The sequence below is a fragment of the Homo sapiens genome, chromosome 22 (genome assembly GCF_000001405.40).
Source record: "Homo sapiens chromosome 22, GRCh38.p14 Primary Assembly".
NCBI classification, from domain to species: Eukaryota; Metazoa; Chordata; class Mammalia; order Primates; family Hominidae; genus Homo; species Homo sapiens.
The window spans coordinates 19,129,481-19,152,210 of NC_000022.11; the positions used below are offsets into that span (position 1 = coordinate 19,129,481).

At 57.1% G+C, this 22,730-nt stretch overlaps 3 protein-coding genes and 1 long non-coding RNA gene across 10 annotated transcripts, besides 3 other annotated features; 2 read left to right on the forward strand and 2 right to left on the reverse strand.

Moving 5' to 3' along the window:
- On the reverse strand, positions 799-15,171 carry ESS2 (ess-2 spliceosome associated protein). Of its 7 annotated transcripts, none has more exons than NR_134304.2 (10): positions 15,026-15,171; positions 13,246-13,414; positions 13,058-13,153; positions 10,375-10,547; positions 10,132-10,249; positions 9,679-9,812; positions 8,823-8,999; positions 7,843-7,952; positions 5,580-5,695; positions 799-4,995 (listed from the first exon to the last, which is right to left on the reverse strand). NR_134304.2 is itself a non-coding variant. In NM_022719.3 (10 exons), the coding sequence occupies exons 1-10, from the start codon at positions 15,158-15,160 to the stop codon at positions 4,716-4,718; spliced, it is 1,431 nt and encodes a 476-aa protein (NP_073210.1). In that variant the 5' UTR covers positions 15,161-15,171; the 3' UTR covers positions 799-4,715. The 7 variants fall into 7 exon arrangements, 6 of the variants coding, with proteins under 6 accessions (NP_073210.1, XP_005261339.1, XP_006724392.1 ...); NM_022719.3 differs by having other exon boundaries at positions 8,735-8,837; positions 10,375-10,544; XM_005261282.5 differs by having other exon boundaries at positions 8,735-8,837.
- On the forward strand, positions 1,828-3,142 carry TSSK2 (testis specific serine kinase 2). Its single transcript, NM_053006.5, has one exon. It carries the CDS (start codon positions 1,920-1,922, stop codon positions 2,994-2,996), a length of 1,077 nt encoding a protein of 358 aa, NP_443732.3. The 5' UTR covers positions 1,828-1,919; the 3' UTR covers positions 2,997-3,142.
- Positions 6,145-6,314: an enhancer, noted in NCBI's record as "experimental_62558 CRE fragment used in MPRA reporter constructs". NCBI's record gives its function as "activates a minimal promoter by MPRAs in K562 erythroleukemia cells, with activity observed for the non-introgressed 22:19123223 variant allele {active_cell/tissue: K562}" and the evidence as "EXISTENCE:reporter gene assay evidence [ECO:0000049][PMID:34662402]".
- LOC112268297 (uncharacterized) lies at positions 6,729-7,466 on the forward strand. Its single transcript, XR_002958753.1, has 2 exons — positions 6,729-6,779; positions 6,859-7,466. It is a non-coding gene; the product is annotated as an uncharacterized LOC112268297 (long non-coding RNA).
- Positions 14,240-14,746: an enhancer, noted in NCBI's record as "H3K4me1 hESC enhancer chr22:19131233-19131739 (GRCh37/hg19 assembly coordinates)". NCBI's record gives its function as "activates a minimal SCP1, AML or CMV promoter by ChIP-STARR-seq in naive H9 embryonic stem cells {active_cell/tissue: H9 hESC(naive)}" and the evidence as "EXISTENCE:reporter gene assay evidence [ECO:0000049][PMID:30033119]".
- Positions 17,513-20,812, reverse strand: GSC2 (goosecoid homeobox 2). The gene is made up of 3 exons (NM_005315.2): positions 20,545-20,812; positions 20,183-20,436; positions 17,513-19,615 (listed from the first exon to the last, which is right to left on the reverse strand). Exons 1-3 carry the CDS (start codon positions 20,801-20,803, stop codon positions 19,511-19,513), a joined length of 618 nt encoding a protein of 205 aa, NP_005306.1. The 5' UTR covers positions 20,804-20,812; the 3' UTR covers positions 17,513-19,510.
- Positions 19,764-20,263: an enhancer, noted in NCBI's record as "H3K4me1 hESC enhancer chr22:19136757-19137256 (GRCh37/hg19 assembly coordinates)". NCBI's record gives its function as "activates a minimal SCP1, AML or CMV promoter by ChIP-STARR-seq in naive H9 embryonic stem cells {active_cell/tissue: H9 hESC(naive)}" and the evidence as "EXISTENCE:reporter gene assay evidence [ECO:0000049][PMID:30033119]".
- Positions 20,813-22,730: the final 1,918 nt, after the last annotated feature.

Sequence of the window (22,730 nt, forward strand, 5' to 3'; positions counted from 1 at the left end):
GGCGACTGCTGCTCACTCCACACAAAGGCCCAAACTGATGTGATTCAGAACCCCCTCCTCACCCAGGTGCCTGGTCTTTGCAGTGCATGGCCTGGGCGCTCTCAGCCCCAGGATTCCCCAGCACCAAGGCCCATCCACTCACAGTCTAGCAAACAAGACTAAGACCTGACCTTCTCTGTCTCCTGCTGATCCTGAGGCCCACCCTGGCCCAGCCTCTTCTCATTTGGTCAAAGGCACTGGCCCCCACTCTCACCTCAAAGCCAATTCTACTCTTTCTGTCTCTCTCTCTCTGCCACTGACCATCTTAAAACACAACTGGGACGGCCCTCCTCCTGTCTTGCACCTGCAGGGGCAGGCTGCCGCTTAGAGAAAAAGCCGAGACTCCTTCACTTCCCTCCTACTTCCAGTCACTTTCAGAAAAAGCCCTCTCTTCTCCCAGGCTCTCTGCTGCCTGGGTGCCTTCCTGCCGCCTCTACCCAAGGGAGGCCCTGCCCCACCCCTCAGACATGCAGCCACCTGCCCTGGACCCTGGGCACCCAGCTGGCATGCACTGCAGCCCCGACCCACCCATACACAGGCCCTTGCTCGCTGGAGCAGCAGCGACTCACCTGCCCGGCTCTCTACCCTGAGGGGCCTGCCGCCTCTGCTCCCAAACACAGAGCTGCTTTCGTCTACCAGGCTTGGCACCACTGCCAGCCTGACTGGTCCAGGGCAGTCCCTCCCAGGTACCACTGTTCCCAGAACCAAGCCAGGTCCAGCTGCATTTTCTTGAGGCCCAATAACGAGAAGCAGACAAACTAGGAAAGAAGGGAGTTTATCACTGTAACTGGATACAGGGAGAAGGCTGGAGATAATTCCAGCAGACCAACTCAAAGTGCTACAATTTTCTTACTGTTTATATAGGTTGGGGTTATGTGCCTACATGCAGTACAGCAATCACCTAAGTCTACTGGTAACTAATTTTGTTCCAAGGAGAAGGTCAGAGGCAAAAAAAATGCTTGCTAAGTCCGATTAAAAGGGGCCCAGTGCCTTCAAGGCCTGTCTACTGTGGTACCGGAGTGATTATTTCGATTGTATCTCCTTTACAGCTTGGTCCAGAGAGCTGCCTTAGACTATCCAATTGATCTATTCAAACAGCTGCCTGTTCCCTTAACTTGTCTTCAGATTTTGTCGACCCGAGATGGGTCCTGGCACTAGGAATGTAAAACCGTTCCTATTATTTTGGCTTGCTCCAGCAAAAGAGAAGCCCATGCAAGGCTCCTGCTGACCATGTTTCATTTCTAGCTTTGATGTCTGGGCACTGATTTCCCTAGATTTAACTATGTGCTCAATGGTAAGGCAGTGCTGTGGAAATCTGTCTGTGTAACTGGGGTGCTATGCAGGCCTGTCTGGGTGACTGTCAGGGACAACTGTCCTACCACACCAAGGACACAGCCCTGGGGGTGCTTTTCTTCATAGCCAAAGAAGCTGCAGGAAACCCACCCTAGTGGGACAAAGACCAATGCAGGGTCAGTCCCCACAGCCAGGTGATGCAAACAGGCTGGACGTGGGCCGCCTCCCCTCCAGCTTGACTTGTGACAGGGAAACCAATGCAGCAGCAGCAGGGCCACCAGAGTCCTGTCCTGGGGACAGGCTTCCTTCCAGCGGGCGGGGAGTGGGTGCTCCTGCCAGACCAGCCTGGCTTCCACGGTTCCAGAGACCCTGTTCTCCCTCAGCCCAGTCCCCGCCCCCACTCCTTGGCTTTATGAGTTCATTGGCTGAAGTCACCCGGAGACAATGCTGAGTGTTCCACCCCTGAGTCGAAGCCCAGCCCAGGGCAGCCCAGCCAGACGCCTCCGGTAGTGTAAATGAGGACAATGCCTGCTGGCCCACATGACGGGGGGATGTAGACGGCAGCGGCGCCAGTCGCTCCTGGCACCATGGACGATGCCACAGTCCTAAGGAAGAAGGGTTACATCGTAGGCATCAATCTTGGCAAGGGTTCCTACGCAAAAGTCAAATCTGCCTACTCTGAGCGCCTCAAGTTCAATGTGGCTGTCAAGATCATCGACCGCAAGAAAACACCTACTGACTTTGTGGAGAGATTCCTTCCTCGGGAGATGGACATCCTGGCAACTGTCAACCACGGCTCCATCATCAAGACTTACGAGATCTTTGAGACCTCTGACGGACGGATCTACATCATCATGGAGCTTGGCGTCCAGGGCGACCTCCTCGAGTTCATCAAGTGCCAGGGAGCCCTGCATGAGGACGTGGCACGCAAGATGTTCCGACAGCTCTCCTCCGCCGTCAAGTACTGCCACGACCTGGACATCGTCCACCGGGACCTCAAGTGCGAGAACCTTCTCCTCGACAAGGACTTCAACATCAAGCTGTCTGACTTTGGCTTCTCCAAGCGCTGCCTGCGGGACAGCAATGGGCGCATCATCCTCAGCAAGACCTTCTGCGGGTCGGCAGCATATGCAGCCCCCGAGGTGCTGCAGAGCATCCCCTACCAGCCCAAGGTGTATGACATCTGGAGCCTGGGCGTGATCCTGTACATCATGGTCTGCGGCTCCATGCCCTATGACGACTCCGACATCAGGAAGATGCTGCGTATCCAGAAGGAGCACCGTGTGGACTTCCCGCGCTCCAAGAACCTGACCTGCGAGTGCAAGGACCTCATCTACCGCATGCTGCAGCCCGACGTCAGCCAGCGGCTCCACATCGATGAGATCCTCAGCCACTCGTGGCTGCAGCCCCCCAAGCCCAAAGCCACGTCTTCTGCCTCCTTCAAGAGGGAGGGGGAGGGCAAGTACCGCGCTGAGTGCAAACTGGACACCAAGACAGGCTTGAGGCCCGACCACCGGCCCGACCACAAGCTTGGAGCCAAAACCCAGCACCGGCTGCTGGTGGTGCCCGAGAACGAGAACAGGATGGAGGACAGGCTGGCCGAGACCTCCAGGGCCAAAGACCATCACATCTCCGGAGCTGAGGTGGGGAAAGCAAGCACCTAGCATGACAATGGCCCCGTTGTGTGTGGTGGGGGTCGGGGTTGGGGGGCATGGTGCAGTCGGCCTTCACGTAAACTAAGTAGGCAGGTAGGATCTGAAGAAGGCACAGGTGCAAGTAAAATTCGTCAATTAAACCACTATTTTGATTACGTTCCATTAGCTTTCTTCCACTTAGCAGCAAAGACGTTCCTTACTGACCACCAAATAAACCACAGGGTGTGTGCAAGCATCAAGAGTGCCCAGTGAGGAGTGTTTTTCTCTGGGACTCAGCCAACCGCCCCACCTGACACACAGTGGTCTCCGGCCTAGGAGCACAGGACAGATGCTCAGGTACAGGCAGAATCACAGTGTGGCCTGGCCTTGTGGGGGACAAGAGGGCCTCTGCCAGGGTCCACCCACCAGGCCCACACTGTCTCCCTCTGACCTGGCCTTGTCCCCAATGCCCTGGGGCTGGCCAGCTCCAGTGGTCCACGACTCCCCCTGGCTTCCTGCAGTTCAGCCCCCTCTGACCTACCCCCACTCCCTCACAATCCCTCGCTCAGCATCCTCCTCTTCCTCTATTTCCTGGAGTCATGTGAGATTTCTGTCCTCAGCCCTCAAGTTCCCTGCCCTGTCCTCCAGGGGCAGCCCCAGCTGAGACCTCCCCGTGTGCCCTCCCCACCCAGTGGCTCTTCAAGCTGCTCAGCAGCCCTTGATGATGGCACACTGGCCGGTCTTTTGTGCTTCCTGCTGGGTCACCCATTGCTCCCAAAGCATGCGGCCCACTTGCTGGCCAAGTGCTCCAGGTGGTCAGCACCTAGACATGCTCCTCCCCCCTCCCTCCCCACTTCCTGGGGGCTCCCTTGGGATAACGTGCACCCTTTCCTAGGGGATAAAGCACTGAAGGCCCCACGTCCCCCACCCCTTAAGAGTCCCAGCCTGATCTGTCCAGCAACCCACTGTTATCTGGGAGCTCCTGTTGGTGGAAGTGACCAGGTGAGGCCAGGGCCAGCAGCATAAGATGGGCAGTGCCTATAGCAGAGGGGTGAGTGGGATAGTCCCACCCCATGAGCTGGAAGCCAGGTGCTGGGAGAAGGTGATAGCTGAGATCACCTGATATGCAGCCCCCACACAGTCCTATAACCAGCGCACCTCACAGCCGGCAAGCCCAGAGTGGAGGCTGCAGACCTGGGCCCAGAACCGCAGGGGAACCTAAGGGTACAACTTCCAAGGGCTCCGTTTCTCCTTCATATCCCCCCAGAGAAGCAGAAAGCACTGCAGGATGTGAGCTCAACTCAGAACACAGGTTCCGAGTGCCGCAGAAAGCAACGCCAGTCACCCGGTGCTCCCACAGCCGCCCCACCTGCAGCTTCCTCACCTGGGGGGCCCCTCGCTTCAAGCCCCGCAGTCCTGAGACGTGATGCAGGCCCCAGGGCAAGGCTAGGGCTCGTGTGGGGAGCAAGATGGAGAGGCAACCCCCCAGACTGTACCTAGGTGTTCTTTAATGACAGTTCAAGGGGCCAATTAAACAGCAAACAGCTTGGCAAGGCCCTGGGGTGTGGTGTGGGCACGAGTGCCTTGTGCCAGTCTGGCCCCAGCACAGCCCCTTTCTCCAGTGACTCCTGGTATGGTCAACAGCTTCTGGCCCAGGCCTGGGCCCCGAGAAGGCTGGAGTCCTCTGCTGGGTGTACAGCTGCCCTGCAGGCTCTGTGAAGCGTCTATGAGCCCAGCCCAGGCCTGGCTCTAAAAGAAGTCCGAAGCTTTGCGCCGGGCAGGGAGCTGCAGCAGGTTGTCCGTGATGGAGGCCGGGTCCTGTGTGAGAGGGGTGCGTGTGGCAGAGCCAGGCGCCGGTGTGCTTGTGGGGGTCTGCAGCCCACTGGCCGGGGTCTTGAGGTGGGTGGAGCGTGCTGGGGATGGTGTGTAGCTGGCCCGCAGGGCCCGGTCTGTGTACTTGCTGGCCGTCCTGCTCACAAGGCGCTGTAGGGCTGGCGACATGGCTGGGCTCAGGCCTTTGGGGGTGAGGCTGGGGTGGAGGAATGGGTGAGAGAGGCAGGGTTAGGTGGGCTGAGAGCTGCCGGCAGCAGGGCCTCCCTTGGCTCCCAGGAAGAGCCTGGGCAGAGACACAGTCACTCTGAGCTGAGGAGGATGGTACTGCCAGCATGGCAGCAAATGCGGGGGATCCCTGAGGTCAAACAGCAGCGCTCAGGTCAAACCTGAGGTCAAACAGCAGCACCGCCCTTGGCTGTGGGGGCTGGGGTGCACCCCCAGGCCTCTGAGAGTTGGAGTCCCCACCCCTCTCCAAGGGGAACGATGACTCTCTCCACAGGGCTGATGAAAGCTCCCAGCAGGACCACACGCCTAAAGATGCCTCTTAGGGACGGGTCAAAGAGGACGTGGAGGAAAGAGAAGATGGAGGGGGCCTCTCATCCTGTCCATGTGCGGCCATGCTCTGGATAGAGGAGCTGCCACAGTACCCACTGCAGAACCCCGCGGACCTGCCCTGGACTCTGCCGCGTGGGCCATGCCTCCACACGGTCAGGGCAGGGGCCGAACAGGAGCAGGCCAGAGCCACCCTCGCACTTCCCCACCAGCCAGGCGGCCCCTCACCTGGCCAGATTCTCCGTCACTCTCCGCAAGGCTTCCTGCTTCTTGGCCCGGTTCTTGGCAGCGGCCTCGTTGGCCATCTTCAGACCCAGCCGCTCCCTGCGGCCTGGCTCCAGGATCTACAAGGTAGCAGGTGTGTGGGTAGCTGCGCCAGGCCTGCCACACGCCAGGCAGCCCCTCACACAGAAAGCCACTGTGGTGGGTGCCAGCCTCTCTTTGTTGCCTACAAAACCCCCACAACCCATCACCTCCCACTAAAAGCCCCTGGAAAGCCCCAAACCCCACCTGACCTGCCCAAGGCGCAGCACTCCTCACCTGTCTTCGTGTTCCTCCCAAAACCATGACCTCTGACAATCTCTCAGGAAAAAGCAGTCTGTTTTAGTGTTTCCCTGATTATCAGAGTGAACATCTCTGTCTTTATCGGCGCTCTGTATTTCGGGCGCTTCCCCGTGTGCCTGTGGCCTATTTTGCTCTCAAGGGGCTCATTTTCCTTTTCTGCTGCTGTTACTCAGAAGACCCTTGCCAAGACCTTGTGTCAAGTCAACTGTGCTACGCTGTGCACATGTTTTTTCACTCATTTACATTTGTTTCATTTATAACATTTTCTGCTGTATTTGTTATTTTCATTTGTGATTTCTTCCTTTGCTTTTATGTTTAGAAAGTCCCTCCTAACTTAAGATTAGACTACAGGCTGGGAGTGGTGGCTCACACCTGGAACCTCAGCACTTTGGGAGGCCAAGGTGGGAGGATCACTTGAGCTCAGGCATTGGAGACCAGCCTGAGCAAAATGACAAGACCTCATTTCTACACACACACACACAAAATTAGCTGGGCATGGTGGTGTATGCTGTTAGTCCCAGCTACACAGGAGGCTGAGGCTGGAAGGTCATTTGAGCCCAGGAGCTCAATGTTACAATCAGCTATGATTGCACCACTGTTCTCCAGCCTGGGCAACAGAGTGAAACCCTATCTGTTAAAAAAAAAAAAAAAAAAAAAAAAGAGGCGAGGCACAGTGGCTCACGCCTGTAATCCCAGCACTTTGGGAGGCTGAGGTGGGTGGATCACGAGGTCAGGAGTTCGAAACCAGTCTGGCCAAGGAGTTCGAGACCAGTCTGGCCAACATGGTGAAACCCCATCTCTACTAAAAATACAAAAATAAGCCGGGCGTGGTGGCACGCGCCTGTAGTCCCAGTTACTTGGGAGGTTGAGGCAGGAGAATCACTTGAACCCAAAAATCAAACTAAATATTCGCCACTATTTTCTAGTCCCAGTTACTTGGGAGGTTGAGGCAGGAGAATCACTTGAACCCAAAAATCAAACTAAATATTCGCCACTATTTTCTTCTGGTTGTTTTATGGTTATTGTTTTTACATGTAACCTTTTCACCTTTCCACAATGTATGCTGCTACACATCCTGAGGACCCAGCTCCCTTCATTTCTAAATACTCTGCTATTCAGTGCAATCTGAGTTGCCATCTTTATCGGGCCCCAAATTCTGACTTGGATCATGGTTTGTTTCAGAATTTATCTGTTTACTGTTGGCCTGGAGACTCGGGAAGCAGTGGCAGGCATACCTCAGAAGCACCTCAGCCCTTGCCTTGCGCTCTCACATTGGACAGCACGGCATCCTCTTCATTATCCCTCTCGCACGTTTGCCTTGGTTATCCTTGTGTCCCAGACAATTTAGAACCAAGGTAACCAGAACCTCTCCCCATGTTTTGTCTGGACATGGGTTACCTGTACTAAGTATTCTGGGGAAAGGCCCGCAGTGGTATGGGGAGGCCTGTTGTATCTGACCCAGCCCACGAAGAGCCTCCCCTGGTCTGTGCCGGGCCTCACACACTCCACCCTGACCACTCCTACAACACCAGGCTTGAGCCGTGTAATCCAGCGTGTCCCAATCGTGTTCTGTAACCAGGGGCCTTCTCTACAAGCACACAGCCTCGTCCTATGGCCCTCAGGCCTGCAGAGCTCCTCACGTGTCTGTGACCATCCTGCCTCATTCATGAACAGCACCCGGCCTCCAGGATCCAGAGGGCCCAAGCCACTCCCTGCCTTGGTGTCTCAGCCCTTACACCCCCAAATCCCTCTGTGACAGGTCCACCCACCCACACCTGCCTTCAGCACCCTGGCATTCAGAAAAGCCAGCACTCTGCCCGTCAGCAGCTGGGGGCCGATCCCAGTGCTCAGTCCTGAGCCACAGGCACTCAGGGCTCCAGAGGTGTCCACCCCGGTCGCACACAGTTCCCCCATCACCACAACCCACCTTAAAAGCTGGGCCGGGTGTCCTGTCCACGTAGGGCGTTTCCGACCCTTCAACTCTCAAGGGTGTGTTCTCAACCTCCCCCCAGGTCATCATCGGGGACTCGTTCACACCTGCAGACAAAGAGCCCAAAACCACCTCAGGCCAGAGGACTCCCCACCACCCTCCCCTCCAGTCACAGCTTGTTCACCCAATGTGCATCCCAGCTAATACGAAGGCAGGCAGCTAGCCCTCTCTCCTTCCCCAGGACTCTGGAACCCTGGCACCTCCATCCTCCGAAAGGGAAATGCCAAGCTCCCAGCAGGCCCGAGGCAGGCTCAAGGCCCTACAGCCATGTGCTTAGCCTACAAGCCTCTGGGAGGTCTCCCCCAGCCACGCAGGAGGAGACACTCAGGCCTTCCAGGGCTCCCAAACCTCCTAGAACCCCAGGCAAACCTGTGGTGCCTTCACATGCCCTGGCGTGTGACACAGCACCAGCACCCAAGAGCACAGAGGCCAGAGTGCAGAGGGACACCCACGCATGCCACAAGACCACCTGAGTTTCACCTCCACTGAGGTGCTGGGCCTCCCTCCCTGCAGTGCTAGGTAGACTTAGACTCATAAGCACTGTGCACACACCCCCACCCACTGACATCACAGTAAGGACCAGGACAGGACACGTCATCCCAGGATGTCTCAGGCCAGGTCTGCCTGAGAGTCCAGCCCACCCACGGCCCCAAGCAGCCTGGACACCTGGCCTCTAGGGCCTTGTACAGACAGGAGACCAGGTCCCTGAGTTACACAAGGTGTGGGGCAGGCCAGGTAGAGGCCAGGAGTGGCCAGGGCCGACTGAGAAGCCCACCTCCCCCAGGGAGTCCCAGCAGTAGACCCACTTGCCAGTGGGCACTTTTCTCACCAGGGGCAGGGGAAGGAGTGGCAACAAATCCAAATCCACCCACTCGAGGGGACTCCTGGGGGATCAGCTCCTTGCCATCGGGGCCCACCTTGCCCTGTTTGTGCTGGAACAAGCAGAGAGGCTGGCATCAGGGGGACCGCAGCCCACGCTCGACAGCTGGCCGGTGGGCAAACACGTGGGAACATGCTGGAAACACTTCCTCTCCTCAGGGCAAGGCTGGGGCTCTGGGGTTGGCAGCCTTCTTGGAGAAAGAGAGGGAGGGCCCCTGCCCCAACCCCCCAAAAGACCTTGAGGGCCTGTCAAAGTGGGTACCCAAGCAAGGAAAGCCCCCTCCTCCCATCCAGGGAGGTGCCAGGGCCTCCACTCGAGCTGCGCCTATCCCAGCAACTCCAGAGGATGCTGACGCCAGGCCCCTGCAGGGGGCAATGCTGATGACAGGCAATGCTGATGACAGGCAATGCTTATGCTCTAGTCTCTTCCTGCCTTCCCCACTTCAACCCTGTGACTGCCACAGTCACCATCAGAGAGTATCTACTCGTCTTGCTCCCAGACTCAGAAAGCCTCTGCTCTCTGCCAACCCAGGGCCTGTCCCACCCCAGCCACCCCCTGGGGCTGGGCTCCCTCTGCGGCTCTCTGGCTTCCCTGCCCGGTGTGTGGGCGTGCAGCTGCCAGCCTGGGCTCACTCCCAGCAGTCCCTTTTCTCTCCTGCCCCTGCCATCAAGGGAGCTGGCACAGATCTGGACCTACAGAACGTGTGTGACCAAGGCAGTGTTCAATGGAAGCCCACTGGGGCCAAGGAAAGACTCAGGATCCTGCCGCACAGGGCCCCAGATGGTTCCACTCACTGAGCTCTGCCAAGCTCAAAGAGATGGGAGAGATCATGCCTGCCCCCAGGCAGCCCTGTCCAACCTGGCCCATGCGGCCCTGCTGACCCGCCTGCTCACCTGGGCATTGAGGGCGGCTGCCTGCTGGAGCTGGCACCTGCTCAGGGCTTGGCTGAAGGGGTCCCTAAGGAAGCGCGTGTTCTTATGTACCACCTGCCGGGGCTTCTTAAACAGCTGCTCCTCGTCAGGGACACCTGGCAGACGAAGCAAAGGTAGCAGCAGGTGTCAGAAGGGCAGCAGCCTAAGGAGCATGAGGAGCTCGCTTCTCGGCCAAGTCACTCCCAGATGAACAAAAGCATTGAGCAGAACGCAGGCCCCAGTGCCGCTGGAGAGGGTCTCACTCACTGCTGACCTCACACAGACCTGTCCACCCTTAGACAGACCAGTACCCATCAGAAGCCCAAACTGCAAGGGGGCACGGCCATACACACCTGGAAGGCTGCTCCAAACACAGCCAGACACACACAGCTCTACCCAACACCTCCCCATTTGGCTGCGAGGCCCGCCACTTACCCTCTGGATAGTACATGAGGGAATTCTTGGCCTTGTACTTCCAGGTCTCCACACTGGCCTGGCTGCTCTCGATGGCCTGGTGCTCTGCTGACGGGAGTTCGAGATTATCTTTCTGCCTCTGCAATCACATGGGGAAAAGTGATGGTCAGAGATGCCCCTGGGCATTGTACCCATGGCCCTGGGGCTCCCCAACCACCACAGAGGGTGCCTACGCCTATGTGACACCCCAGACCCCAGAGACACCTTCTCAAACTCTTCCTCAGCCTGGTAGAGCCAAGCGTGGCGTGCCCGGCTTCTCTCCTTGGCCACCTCCATGATCTCCTGGAAGGAGGCATTGTCCTCACTCGTGTAGCGGCTCAGGAAGACATCTAGGCTGGGCAGCGGCTCCTTCTCCTCCTCCTCTCCAGCCTCTCCTGCTTAGGGGTTGCGGGAGGAGGAACACAGCACCCTTTGCAGTCAGGAAAGAGGAGGACACCCAGGCCCAGGAATCATAGCCCCCAACATGCAGGGCTGGAATCCTCTCCCCTGGTCCTGGCTTCTGCCCATGAAAGCCCACACTGCCAAGGACTCCCCACGGGGGCAGAATCCACCCACCCTGACTGCCCAGAGAGCCCTCAGGTGGTACCCTACAGATTCAGGGCCAGCTCTGCTCATGTGCTGGATGCCAAGGGAATTACGTGGTCTGATTCAGACTGGAGAAAGCAATACAGGTGTTAGAGCAAGAGCTCGTGATCACAGGCAGGCTCCTCCCCCACCAAAGTGGTGCCAGGCCTGTGGGTGCCAGGCCTCCAAATCCCTGGGGCTCTCCCTCACTCCCTAGGATTTCCTTACCTTACCCACTCTTCTCTTCCTGGTACCTGTACTACAGGTGGGTGGTCATCGCCTAATCATCCTGACCTGAGAGCGAGCCCCAATTCCAGGGATCTCATATGACTTAGTCCTCTGGATGGGGCCTCACAGGTGCTAAGCCACAACCCCAAACACCCCCCCCTCCGACCAACCCTGCCACCATGGAAAGTGGTACTCCCACTGAGGTGGTGCCCTGGTGCTGCGTGTGGTGGTGCAAACTTCGGTGGGGCCACCTGGAGAGCTCTGCCTTCAAGTCTAGTGACAGTCCTGACCACCTGCTACACGTGAGGCTATGCACAAGGCACAGTGGCTACAAGCTCAAGACCCACGGGATGAGGACAGGGGTCAGAAACTCTATTCATCTCAGAGAGATAAGAAGTGAAACCCTGACCATCTCTGAGACCTGCAGAAGTGACTGCCTTTCTGAGCCTCAGTTTCCTCACCTGTAAACATGATGATGGTTCCTACCACTTAGGTTCTGAAAAGGATTCCTATATTTACTGGCATGTAGGTGTACAGGTATTGAAAATCTGCAAACTGGCTAGGCATGATGGCTCACACTTGTAATCCTAGCACTTCGGGAGGCCAAGGTGGGAGGATCACTTGAGCTCAGAAGTTTAAAACCAGCCTGGGCAACATAATGAAACCTCATCTCTATAGGAAAAAAAAAAAAAAGGAGAAGAAAAAAATCTACAAATTGCCCTGTGATGCACAAGCTACATTTCAACAGATAATCAAGCTTCAAGGACAACAAGGACTGTGTTAATGGCCGAAAAAGCTGGATTGTAAAGCAAAAAGTATCATGTTTGCATGTTTGTGCAAACACACAACACATCTGTGCTACTCCAGCACAGTGGAGTCTACAAACTGATAAGAAAGAGTGTCTCGTTTGTCTATACATGCACTGACATTCTACTACTGATGAAAAGAGGGCCTGACAACGCAGAAGTCCCATGGCGTGCAGAACACTTGCATTCAACAGGACTCGGAGTGCCCTTTCCTAAACCGACTCCCCCATCAAGTCACGATGTTACCATATAGAGCTGTGTGTCCCAGCAAACATGCTGAAGATGACAACTCTTTCATCTGTTCCATGTGTATCTGTGCAAGGCCCACAACACCACATGTGCTGTTCCCAACACGGAGCATACAGATGAAAGCAAAACAAAGCTTCTGCTCTTGTGCAAGGGATGCCAATTAGGGAAAGAGACCATAAACAGAAATGCCTTTAAAACGTTATGTCTTGGCCAGGCGCGGTGGCTCACACCTGTAATACCAGCACTTTGGGGGGCCGAGGCAGACAGATCACCTGAGGTCAGGAGTTCAAGACTAGCCGGGACAACATGGCAAAACCTCGTCTCTACTACAAAATACAAAAATTAGCCAGGAGTGGTGGCAGGCGCCTGTAATCCCAGCTATTTGGGAGGCTAAGGCAGGGAGAATTGCTTGAACCTGGGAGGTGGAGGTTGCAGTGAGCCGGGATCACACCATTTTACTCCAGCCTGGGTGACAGAGCGAGACTCTGTGTCAAAAAATTAAAAATAAAATGAAATTAAATAAAATAAAATGTCTTGTGATGAAAAACCAAAGCCAGGCTGGAAGCCACAGAGCACCAGTGGTGTTGTGACTTCACACTGGCAGGTCAAGAAAAGTTTCTCTGAACAGGTAACACCTATGCAGAGATCTACAGGAAGAAACACAGTGAGCCATGCAGTTATCTGGGAAGTGACCAACATGAAGGAAACAAATGGAGAGGCCCTGAGGCATCTTCAGGATAGTAACAAAAGGGGCCTTCCAACATCCATGAAGCCCACAGGGCAGGGCTGGAACACAGCAGAAAAGCCAGCAAGAGCTGGTGAGAGTCCCATTTCACAGAGGCGAGCCATGTGTGGGAGCTGGACCCAGATGTTCTACCACCTAGACCAATGTCCTTTGACTTCACAGGCTGCTATTTACGCAAGACCCCTCAGGAACAAGATGTGGCCTGCAGCCCTCTGGACCACCCCCTCAGGGCCTCACAGGCTAAGATTCCCAGGCAATCCTGACCATGTGACTTAAAGAGGGCACCCTCACTCACCATCCTCCAGGCCTCGGCCGCGGGGCCTGGGCTTGTTGCCCACCACTCCAGTGCCTGCATGCACCTCAGGGGTTTCAAATGTGGCTGGAGTCACATCTAGGGGAAGAGAGGGGGATAAGAATTAGAGTGAGCCTGAAGCGACAGTTCAGCAGGCTTTCCCCTCTCCGCCACCCACAGGGTCCTCATACAGGGTGGCGGGGGCTCCCGGGACATCTTGCCCAAGGCAGAGCCAAACTTGATGGCAATCTGGCGCATCCGTTCCAAGTCTCCATTCTCCTCGGCTTCCAGGTACTCCTTCTGTGCCTGGAGCTTCTCCACATCAGGAAAGAAATCCCTTTGGATGACCGTCTGGAGGCCCTGCAAGGAGAGATCAGAATGAAAGTCAGAGGCCAGGCGCGGTGGCTCACACCTGTAATCCCAACACTTTGGGAGGCCAAGGGAGGTGGATCATGAGGTCAGAAGTTCAAGACCAGCCTGGCCAACATGGTGAAACCCAGTCTCTACTAGAAATACAAAAATTAGCCGGGCGTGGTGGCAGGCACCTGTAATTCCAGCTACGTGGGAGGCTGAAGCAGAAGAATCGCTTAAACTCGGGAGGCGGAGGTTGCAGTGAGCCAAGATCACACCCCTGCACTCCAGCCTGGGCGACAGAGCGAGACCGTCTCAAAAAAAAAAAAAAAAAAGAAAAAAGAAAGTCGGAGCTGCAGTCTGGGTGCTCCTGCCTCACAGGTCCACTGCTGTACATGCTAAGGAACTTGCTGAACCTCCTTCAAATTCTACTTCCCCAATGACTGGGGCTGGATTGAGGGAGCTTGAGGGCACTTTCTAGTGGGGTTGAGCATCCCATATGGTAGCCATGCTGCAACCTCTAACATTACTAAACACTCTTCTGAAGTCCGTGAAACCCTTCTCTCTCGCCCTTGCTAACTGGTCATTCTCATTCTCCATTGCTGGCTCCCCACAAGCCAGACCAATGTGGGTGTTGTCACTTTCATTCCACACATGACTTTCTATTTCCAATCTAAACCTTTCTCCTGGCGGGGCATGGTAGCTCACGCCTGTAATCCCAGCACTTTGAGAGGCCAAGGCGGGCGGATCACCTGAGGTCAGGAGTTCGAGACCAGCCTGGCCAACATGGTGAAACCCCACCACTACTAAAAATACAAAAATTAGCCGGGCGTGGTGGCGGGCACCTGTAGTCACAGCTACTCGGCAGGCTGAGGCAGGAGAATGGCTTGAACCCAGGAGGCAGAGGTTGGTTACAGTAAGCCGAGATCGCGCCACTGCACTCCAGCCTGGACGACGAGCGAGACTCCGTCTCAAAAAATAAAATAAAAATAAACCTTTTTCCTGAGTAACTTCAGCCAGTCACTACCACAAGTTGAGATTCCCAAGTCTGCACCTCCAGCCAGACCTTGCTCCCGAGCTGCATATCTGGGCACCCAACCGTCCGTTAAAGCCATCCATCTACATATCCCAAAAGGTGTCCCGAATTAAACAGGTCTAAAACCAAACTGACTTCCGCCAATCCCCGTTTCAGCTCCTCCTTCTGTGTGCGTGTGGTGGGGCGACGCAGGTCCACTCACTCGAGATGCTGTCACAACTGCGGTCTCTTTCCAGGAACCCCAGCATTCACACTTGCTGCCACCGCTCTTTAGAAAGCCCTCTTTGCCACCATCCTTCCAGTTTGTCAAACTCCTACTCACACTTTAACAGAAAATCTTCTTTCCCTGACCCCCGTCCCATACAAAGAGAGCCGCTCTCTCTTTTCCCTGACAACACTACTACAGCCTCTTCCACCACAGACGTCTTCCTCTGCCCTGTTTACTTGACTCGTGGGACCGTCCACACCCGGCTCCTCCACTTCCACGAGGAGACGGAGTGTCAACACCCGAGAGAGGGAACCTGAGAGGAGCTTGAAGCAGAGGATGGGCCCAGAAGTCGCCGGCGTCCGCACCGAGGTCGTACCTCGATATACTCTTCCTCGTCCAGGACCCGCTGCTTGCTCGTCGCAGCCCCAGCCTCTCCCGCCTCGCGCTTCCTCGGGGGCCTGGACGCGGCGGGAAGCAACAAGGACGACGCTGATGCGCCCGGCGTCTCCATCGCTATCCCAGGAAAAAGCTCGGGCCCAGCAGGCGCGTCACAGGGTGGAGGGGGCGGGACTGCACCATTTGCGCAGGCGCCTCCAATAGTTGGCCAATGGAAAAGCTGTGGCTCTAGAAAGCCAGCCCGCGCTCCGTTCTGACGTCACTATAAATGCTAGACTTTATTGGAAATGTAGTCCTTGTCCTGCCCCGCGCTATTCATGCTTGTCAATGCTGTGAACACGAGGGGGTGCTGTGGAGGTGGCGGGGAGGATGCTATAGGGCGTGTTCTTCACGCGAGAAATTCTGGCTTTGCAGCGTCCAAAGGCCTTAGAATTCTAATTTCCCACAAATAAGAACTATGTATGCTTCGAGATTATTCTACAAAAATACAAACCAGGAAATTTACTTATATAGGAGTTTCAAGCTTTATGCAAGAAAAGGGCCTTAAAACAATTTTTTTTTTGAGACGGAGTTTCGGTCTTGTTGCCCAGGCTGGAGTGCAATGGCATGATCTCGGCTCACCGGAGTTCCCGGGTTCAAGGGATTCTCCTGCCTCAGCCTCCCGAGTAGCTGGGATTACAGGCATGGGCCACCACGCCCGGCTAATTTTGCATTTTTAGTAGAGACAGGGTTTCTCTATGTTGGTCAGGCTGGTCTCTGGATTACAGGCGTGAGCCACCGCACCCGGCCAAAACAATCTTTTTTTTTTTTTTATAGTTATCTAACAAAAGGTGAAAGAACAAGACAGTGGTTCGATTAAGAAATGTCTAAAGATTATTCTGTAATCCCAGAACTTTGAGAGGCCAAGACAGGCGGATCACCTGAGGTCAGGAGTTCTAGACCAGCCTGGCCAACAAGATGAAACCCCATCTCTACTAAAAACACACAAAAAAATTAGCTGGGCATGGTGGTGGACGCCTGTAATCCCAGCTACTCGGAAGGCTGAGGCTGGAGAATTGCTTGAACCCAGGAGGCGGAGGTTGCAGTGAGCTGAGATTGCACCATTGCACTCCAGCCTGGGTAACAAGAGCAAAACTCTGTCAAAAAAAAAAAAAAGATTATTGGGCCCCCAAATGCCAGAGTGGGCTTCCCAGAAGAGGGATCATTCTCATTCAAGACCAGGCACGGTGGCTCACGCCTGTAACCTCAGCACTTTGGGAGACCCAGGCAGGTGGATCACTTGAAGTCAGGAGATTGAGACCAGCCTGGCCAACATGGTGAAACCCCAACTCTACTAAAAAAAAAAAAAAATACAAAGTGGTGGTAGGTGCCTGTAGTCCCAGCTACTTGGGAGGCTGAGGCAGGAAAATCACTCAAACCCAGGAGGTGGAAACTGCAGTGAGCAGAGATTGTGCCACTGCACTACAGCCTGGGTGACAGAGTGAAACTCTGTCAAGAAAAAAAAAAATTAATATTCAAGTGAACCAGAAAATTGCCTCGGCATTTTTAAGGAATTTCTTCCCAAACGAAAGATGTGAATTGTGTTGGACAAATAAATTCCGCCCTGGAACAATTTAATACAATTTTGCTTTTGCAACATACAGGGATACCTTCATTCACTGAAGTGCAGCGTGCTGCTGCTGCCCTTGTAGAAGTGACAGTGCAATGGGGAAGACAGAGACACTTGTTAGATCATCACACAAACAGGTGTAAAATTGCAGCTGTGTCCGTGCAAGAAAAGAGTTTGTACTTGGGGAATCTTGACCTAGTTCGGGAGGTCAGAGAAGCTTCCCCAGGCAGAAAGTGATTGCAGATTCAAAAGACGAACAAACCGGCAACAGTCAGGTGGAAAGAGCATGTGCAAAGGCCTAGTGGTGGGAGGGAGCAAGGCAAGTTCTAAAGAAGTCCTTTGGAAATGCAGAGTGCAGTGAGGTGTGAGATGATGCCAGAGAGGCAGGGCCAGGCTGCACAGGGCCTTGTAGGGTATGGTGAGGTGGTTTGTCTTCATTCTGAATTGAAGGGGCAGGCCAGGCACAGTGGCTCATGCCTATAATCCCAGCACTTTGGAAGGCCTAGGCCGGCGGATAGTTTGAGGTCAGAAGTTTGAGACCAGCCTGGCCAACATGGCAAGACCTCATCTCTACAAAAAACTTTTCAAGTTAGTCGGGTGTGGTGGTGCCCACCTGTGGTCCTAGCTACTCAGAAGGCTGATGGGGGAGGATCGCTTGAGCCCAGGAGCTGGAGGCTATAGTGAGCCATGATTGCACCACTACACTCCAGCTTGGGTGATGGAGCGAGACCTTGTCTCAAACCAACCGACAAACAAAAAAGCAGAGCCAGTGTGGTGCAGGTGGACAAGATTAGAGACAGTTGCAGTGGTCAAGGTGAGAGGTGACGGTGGCTTACATCAGACTGGTGCAGTTAGAGCTGGAGAGATTCTGGGATTTATTGATTTATTGATAAACAGTAAAACTGACTTCCTGTCAGCCTGGGTATAGTGGATGATCAGGAGAGGGAGGGGTCCAGGGACCAGTTTCGGGTGGGCGGCTAGCTCTCTGGCTCATGTGCCTGGTTTGCACAGAAGAGCTCACTGTGGACAAGGTGACCTTAAGGAGTCTGTGGGCTTCAAGGGGACAGCTGGAGATAAATACCTGGCTCAGGGGAAGTGCCTGGCTTGAGATGTAAATGTGGCAGAAAGATGGGAATTGGAGTCTGAGGGTAAAAGATAAACCGGGAAGAGGGTGAAGATGAGAAGCGAGCGCCTGGGTGTGAGCGTGAAGGATGCCTATGTTAATAGCCTGCTGTGGGGGGTCAGCCTGCCAAGGAGCAGCTAGAGCTCAAGAAGCAAATTCAGGAGAGCAACACAGCCACTGAGCCCTGGAAGGTGGCGCTCCACAAGCTCTGATCGGGGCTCCCAAAACAATGACAGATGGCCATTCAACCAAGGAACTCAAGGGGCCTGGAGCCTGTGAGATGCGAGTGTCCCCAGCTGCAAGGGAGCTGACTGGGACACGGGCATGTCCACAGGTAGTCTGTTCAGTCCCCAAGGGCAAGACCAGGGTTCAGGGAGAAGGGCTTTGTGTGCATGCTAGGGGTGGAGGCGGGGATGCTAGGGACACCCAGCAGTGTCAGGGCAGTTCTGACTGGGGACACCATGCTTGCTTGGTGTTATCCAAGCTGGCCAGCCTTGGGGTGTCTGGGGAGCTGCAGCCCTGGCTTCTGCAGTCCTGCTTTTAGAGATGGACTTCATCTCTTGCAGGTAGAATGGCCCCATTCCCTGCAGGGCCTGTAAGGAGACAGAACGAGGTGCTCAAGCCAGCTGGGGGTGGGGATGTGAGATGCTTTGGACCCACTGTAGGGCCTACTTGGGGAATCTAAGGCTTCTTTCCACTGTGCCTTTTGCCATGGGCCAGGATAAAGAAGGGGAGGGCAGGCATCTTCCCAGGCAGCAGGGGCGGGGTCTCCCCAGTCCAACCTCCTCTTGCCCTACCCTAGGATGGCACAGATTGCTGTGAGGGAGTCCGAGCCCACAGCATGAAAACCCCAGGAGGAAGCAGGGGACCCTCACCCATGGGCAGGTTCACAGTAGCCTAGAGGCCAGGGCTGGACCCCAGGGGTCCAAGGCCACCATCCGTGGAGCAGTCCCCTCTGCTGGGGAGCACCCTGGTGCAGAGACTGAGGATCGCTGAGCTGTGCTCCTCTCAAAGACAGCTGTACCCTAAATACCCCCTCGCTGGGAAGGAAGAAGAAGGGACAGCTCCTTGTTGGGTGTGGGAGTGGAGCCAAGGTGGACTTGAGACTCTGGGCGGCTTCTGTGGTATTTGAAGTTGCTAGTTTCTCAGTATCAGCGCGAGGCTCGAAGGTGAAGGGACTGTGGAGGGGCTCCTGGAATCGCTCCTGCGACCTTCTTATTCTACAGGTCCAGATACCAAGACCCAGCCCAGGGCCTGGGAAGCCTGCAACGCCAGGACTGCACAGACACGAACCCCATCCCCTCTCCCGCTGGGGGAGGACGAGCCAGGTCAAGTTAGGTCAATGTCCACATTGAGAAGAGGGTGGCCAGCATGTCCCAGGGTGCGGAGAGACGCTCCACTGCGTAGGATTCTGGGTCCCGTGTTGATACGGGGTGGTTCCCCTCCTGCGGTGGAGTTAGTGTCTCTCGGGGGGTAGGGAGCTGAGGAAACTGCTCTATGCCCCAGCCCACCCCCAAGGGACTCGCCACTCCCACTGCCGTGGAACACCAAGCACCGGGGGCCCGTCCCCAGCGCCACGGCAGCACGAGCTGCAGGAGGCAAGGGCTGTGGAGACGGGTGGAGGCGGCCGGTGTACTCTCCCAGCTCCTTTTCGGGTAGACCTGTCTTCTCTCAGCGCCAACTCCAAAGATCCCAAAAAGGGTGGCCGAGCCCAGGGGCAGCTCCTAGAGTCATCAGCAGCTCCCCTTCGGGGACTTCTTGACGCCGGGCAGGAGCCTCGCGGAAGCCGACGCGCGCTTCTGGTGTCGCCATTTGGCCCGGCGGTTCTTGAACCAGACCTGGGGATGGGGGGAATGCTCAGCCCTAGCCCCAGGTCCTGCGTCCCACCGGCTCCCGAGGGTCCCACAGGGACCGAGAGGGGAGCTTCGCAACAGGGATGTGGGCGGACGGCGCTGTAGAGCCGACACCCGGGCCGCGGCTGCGCGCCACCTGCCCTTATTCGCTGCGGACAGACTCGGTGGGTCTGGACGCGAGATGGGAACCCCCTTAGTACCCGCCCCAGCCTCCAGCTGGCGGCGACCAGGACGCCCCTTCTTGGGTTGCGGGCTCTTCTGAATTTCCCAAATTCTGGACGTGAACGCGGGCCTCTTTCGTCACCAGAGGAAAGTGTAAAACAAAAGAAAAGAAAAGTAGCCCTCCGGTTCCTTTCCCGCGGCACCTCCCTGCTCTCACCCGCTCCTCATACCCCCGGACGCCCAGCGCCGTCCAGGGACCTCCTCCCTCCGGCGCGCCAGGGCGGGGCTTGGGCCGAGGCCGTCTTTGCAAAGGGCGCCCGCCCGCCAGGACCCCAGTCCAGTGTAGCCGCGGCCCGCGCGCTCCGGGGAAAGGCTGGGCGGGGCACTCACCTCCACGCGCTCCTCGCGAAGGCGGATGCGGCCGGCCAGGCGCTCGCGCGTACTCACGTCAGGATACTGGTTCTGCACGAAAAGCGCCTCGAGCGCCTGCAGCTGCTCTTCGCTGAAGATGGTGCGGTGGCGCCTCGTGCGCCGCTGCGAACCCGGGCCGACCGCGCCCGGGAGCGCCCCGGAACCTCCGGCTGGCGCACCCAGAGACAAGGGCACCGCCGGTCCCAGCCTCAGCGGCCACGCCAGACGAGCGCCTGCGGAGCGAGGGCGCGGTGAGGCGCGGGGCTGGGGCCAAGCTCGGCACCCACTGCGCCGCGCCCCGGGCTCCGCCGGGCCCCGCGCCCCGCTCCGCGCCCACTCACCCAGCCCGGCGGCCGCCTCTGGGGGCCCGCAGGGCGCCGCGCGGGGGCCGCAGCAGCAGCAGCAGGCGCAGGGCGCAGCCTCGGGCGCCCCGGGCTCCTCTGGCTTCGCGGGGCTCTGGCGACCGGCGGGCTGCGGTGGGCAGGCGGCCCGGGCCGGGAGGCTCCGCTCGGGCAGGCTGGAGAGGATGTGCTCGATGGAGAAGGGGCAGGGCCGCCCGGCACCCCGGCGGCTCGCCGCGCCCCCAGCCGCTGCCGCCATGCCCGGCCCGGCCGGGGCGCCGCCGCCGCGGGAATATATACGTCGGGGAGGGAGCGCGCAGTAATCCCCGGGCCGGGCGTCCAGTCCACGCGGGTTAATCCCGCAGCGCCGGCCGCGAACGCGCTAATCCTCGACTGCGGCGGCCCTGCCTCCGCGCGCGGGGGCCGGGGGCGCTGCAGAGAGGGCCCCCTGTGCCCCCCACCCCGCCCCGCGTCCTCCTGCCCCACCCGCGCCCGCCGCTCAAGCTGGCAGGGCGACCTGCGGGGAAGGGGCGGAGGGCCGCCTCGCCGCCGCCCGCGGGGCCTGGCAGCCGCTCGGAGGGCGCCCCGACCCTGGCAGCTCCCCAGAGCGCGGCGGTGCCTCCCGGCCCAGCCTCTGGTGGCTCCCCCTCGTTCGGCTGGGCCTAATTCCTCGTCCCCTCTGGGGCCCTACTGCGGCGGCTCAGCACGCCTGCAGAAGCTCGGCCTAGCCGCCCACCCGAAACTCCTGGACCGCAGCCTCCATGGGGCCCAGCACCACCGGCAACCGCACGATCCCGCCGCGCTCGGGTCCCGAACCTGCCCGCCACCTCGGAGCCAGGGTCTCATGGCCCTGGAGGGCGTGAGAGCGCGGCAGGAAGCCTGGGCTGCCGGGTGCCCCCAGTTCTCCGTCTCCTCACCTGTGTCAAGGAGACCTCCCCGCCCCTTCCGAGGCCCCTCCTCGGTGCTTCAGAGCCGCCTGTCCTCCAGCTTTCCCACTGGTCCCAGAATCCCCGCGAAAACATCCAACACTGCACCTCGCCCTTCCCCGCACTGTCACTGCCCCCCAGAAGCTGTGGGCTCCCCCTCCTCGCTCTCCGCCCAGGCCAGTCCTCTGGCCACACCGTCCTCGGTCCCTTCTGCCACAGCGCAGGTGACCCGCACTTGGCTACATTGTTTCACCCTCAGTGAAGCGGCTCCTGGCAGCGGGACCGTCACTTCAGCTTAAGACCCTTTCCTCTTGACCTTTGAAAATACAGTATGGGACTCATAGCACAGAGAAACAGACGGCCTGGCTCATACTCCGTTGTCAATTTCTGGCCGTGTGACCTCCATAGGCGTCTTCAGCCTCTGGGCTTGGCTTTCCCAATCTGTAAAGTGTAGTGACTAGGTGTGAGACGGTTAGAACCTGGCCGCCTCCCCAGGGCAATGCGTATTCCTGCGCTCCTCCCGCCGCCAGCCCCTCTGCAAGACTCTGCCATCCCCACTCTGCTATCAGTGAAAGTGCTGTGGACATCACTGTGACCGAACCTGCTGATTTAATTTCTGTCACAAGAGCTCCCACATAGGTTTCCCAGGGGTAGTCTGGAGGCTCAGTGATGAGCTGCCACCTCCATGAGTGGCTCTGTCAACCCCTCCTCCACCCACCTCTTGGTGGTAGAATGGCTGCCACAGCCCCACACTTTTCATCTCCTCCCATGGCCCTTTGGATGGCCATGGATCCCTCCTCCCTCAGCAGACCTCCCTCACAGAACTGCATCTGGACCATCCTCCAAAATCAGAGTGCTGCTATGATGGGGGAGGCAGGGTCATTGGTCAGGAGAGCCAGCCCAACATTTGCTGAGCCCTCTTCCTCCTAGCCCTGGCCATTCCTTCATCCTTTCCCATTCTCACCCTCAATACCTATTCCAGCCTTGGAGCTCCAGACACCATCTTTGTGACAGTGACTCACAAGTGCACCTCCAGCCTGGCCTCTCTCTCTGCTCCACGCTCTTGTTTCTGGAGCCTGCTCCACATCTCCATCTCCACTACCAATAAAGTTCTCCCAGTCACCATGCCAGAAAGGAACTCAAGGTCTTCTCAAAATCCCTTTCTTACCCTATGTTCTCCACTTTTACAAATGGGCCACTGCCCACCTGTCCATCTCTAGTGCTCATTCTCTTCTACCTATTTGCCTCTGCGTGTGCCCT

Coding starts and splice junctions, on each gene's coding strand:
- TSSK2 (NM_053006.5), top strand. CDS start 1,920: ATGGACGATGCCACAGTCCTAAGGAAGAAGGGTTACATCGTAGGCATC.
- ESS2 (XM_005261282.5), bottom strand. CDS start 15,160: ATGGAGACGCCGGGCGCATCAGCGTCGTCCTTGTTGCTTCCCGCCGCG. Junction 8,838..9,678: donor CAGCCGCCCTCAATGCCCAG/GTGAGCAGGCGG, acceptor TGCTTGTTCCAG/CACAAACAGGGCAAGGTGGG. Junction 4,996..5,579: donor GTGACGGAGAATCTGGCCAG/GTGAGGGGCCGC, acceptor CCTCCACCCCAG/CCTCACCCCCAAAGGCCTGA.
- GSC2 (NM_005315.2), bottom strand. CDS start 20,803: ATGGCGGCAGCGGCTGGGGGCGCGGCGAGCCGCCGGGGTGCCGGGCGG. Junction 20,437..20,544: donor AGAGGCGGCCGCCGGGCTGG/GTGAGTGGGCGC, acceptor CTCGCTCCGCAG/GCGCTCGTCTGGCGTGGCCG. Junction 19,616..20,182: donor TTCGCGAGGAGCGCGTGGAG/GTGAGTGCCCCG, acceptor CCCCATCCCCAG/GTCTGGTTCAAGAACCGCCG.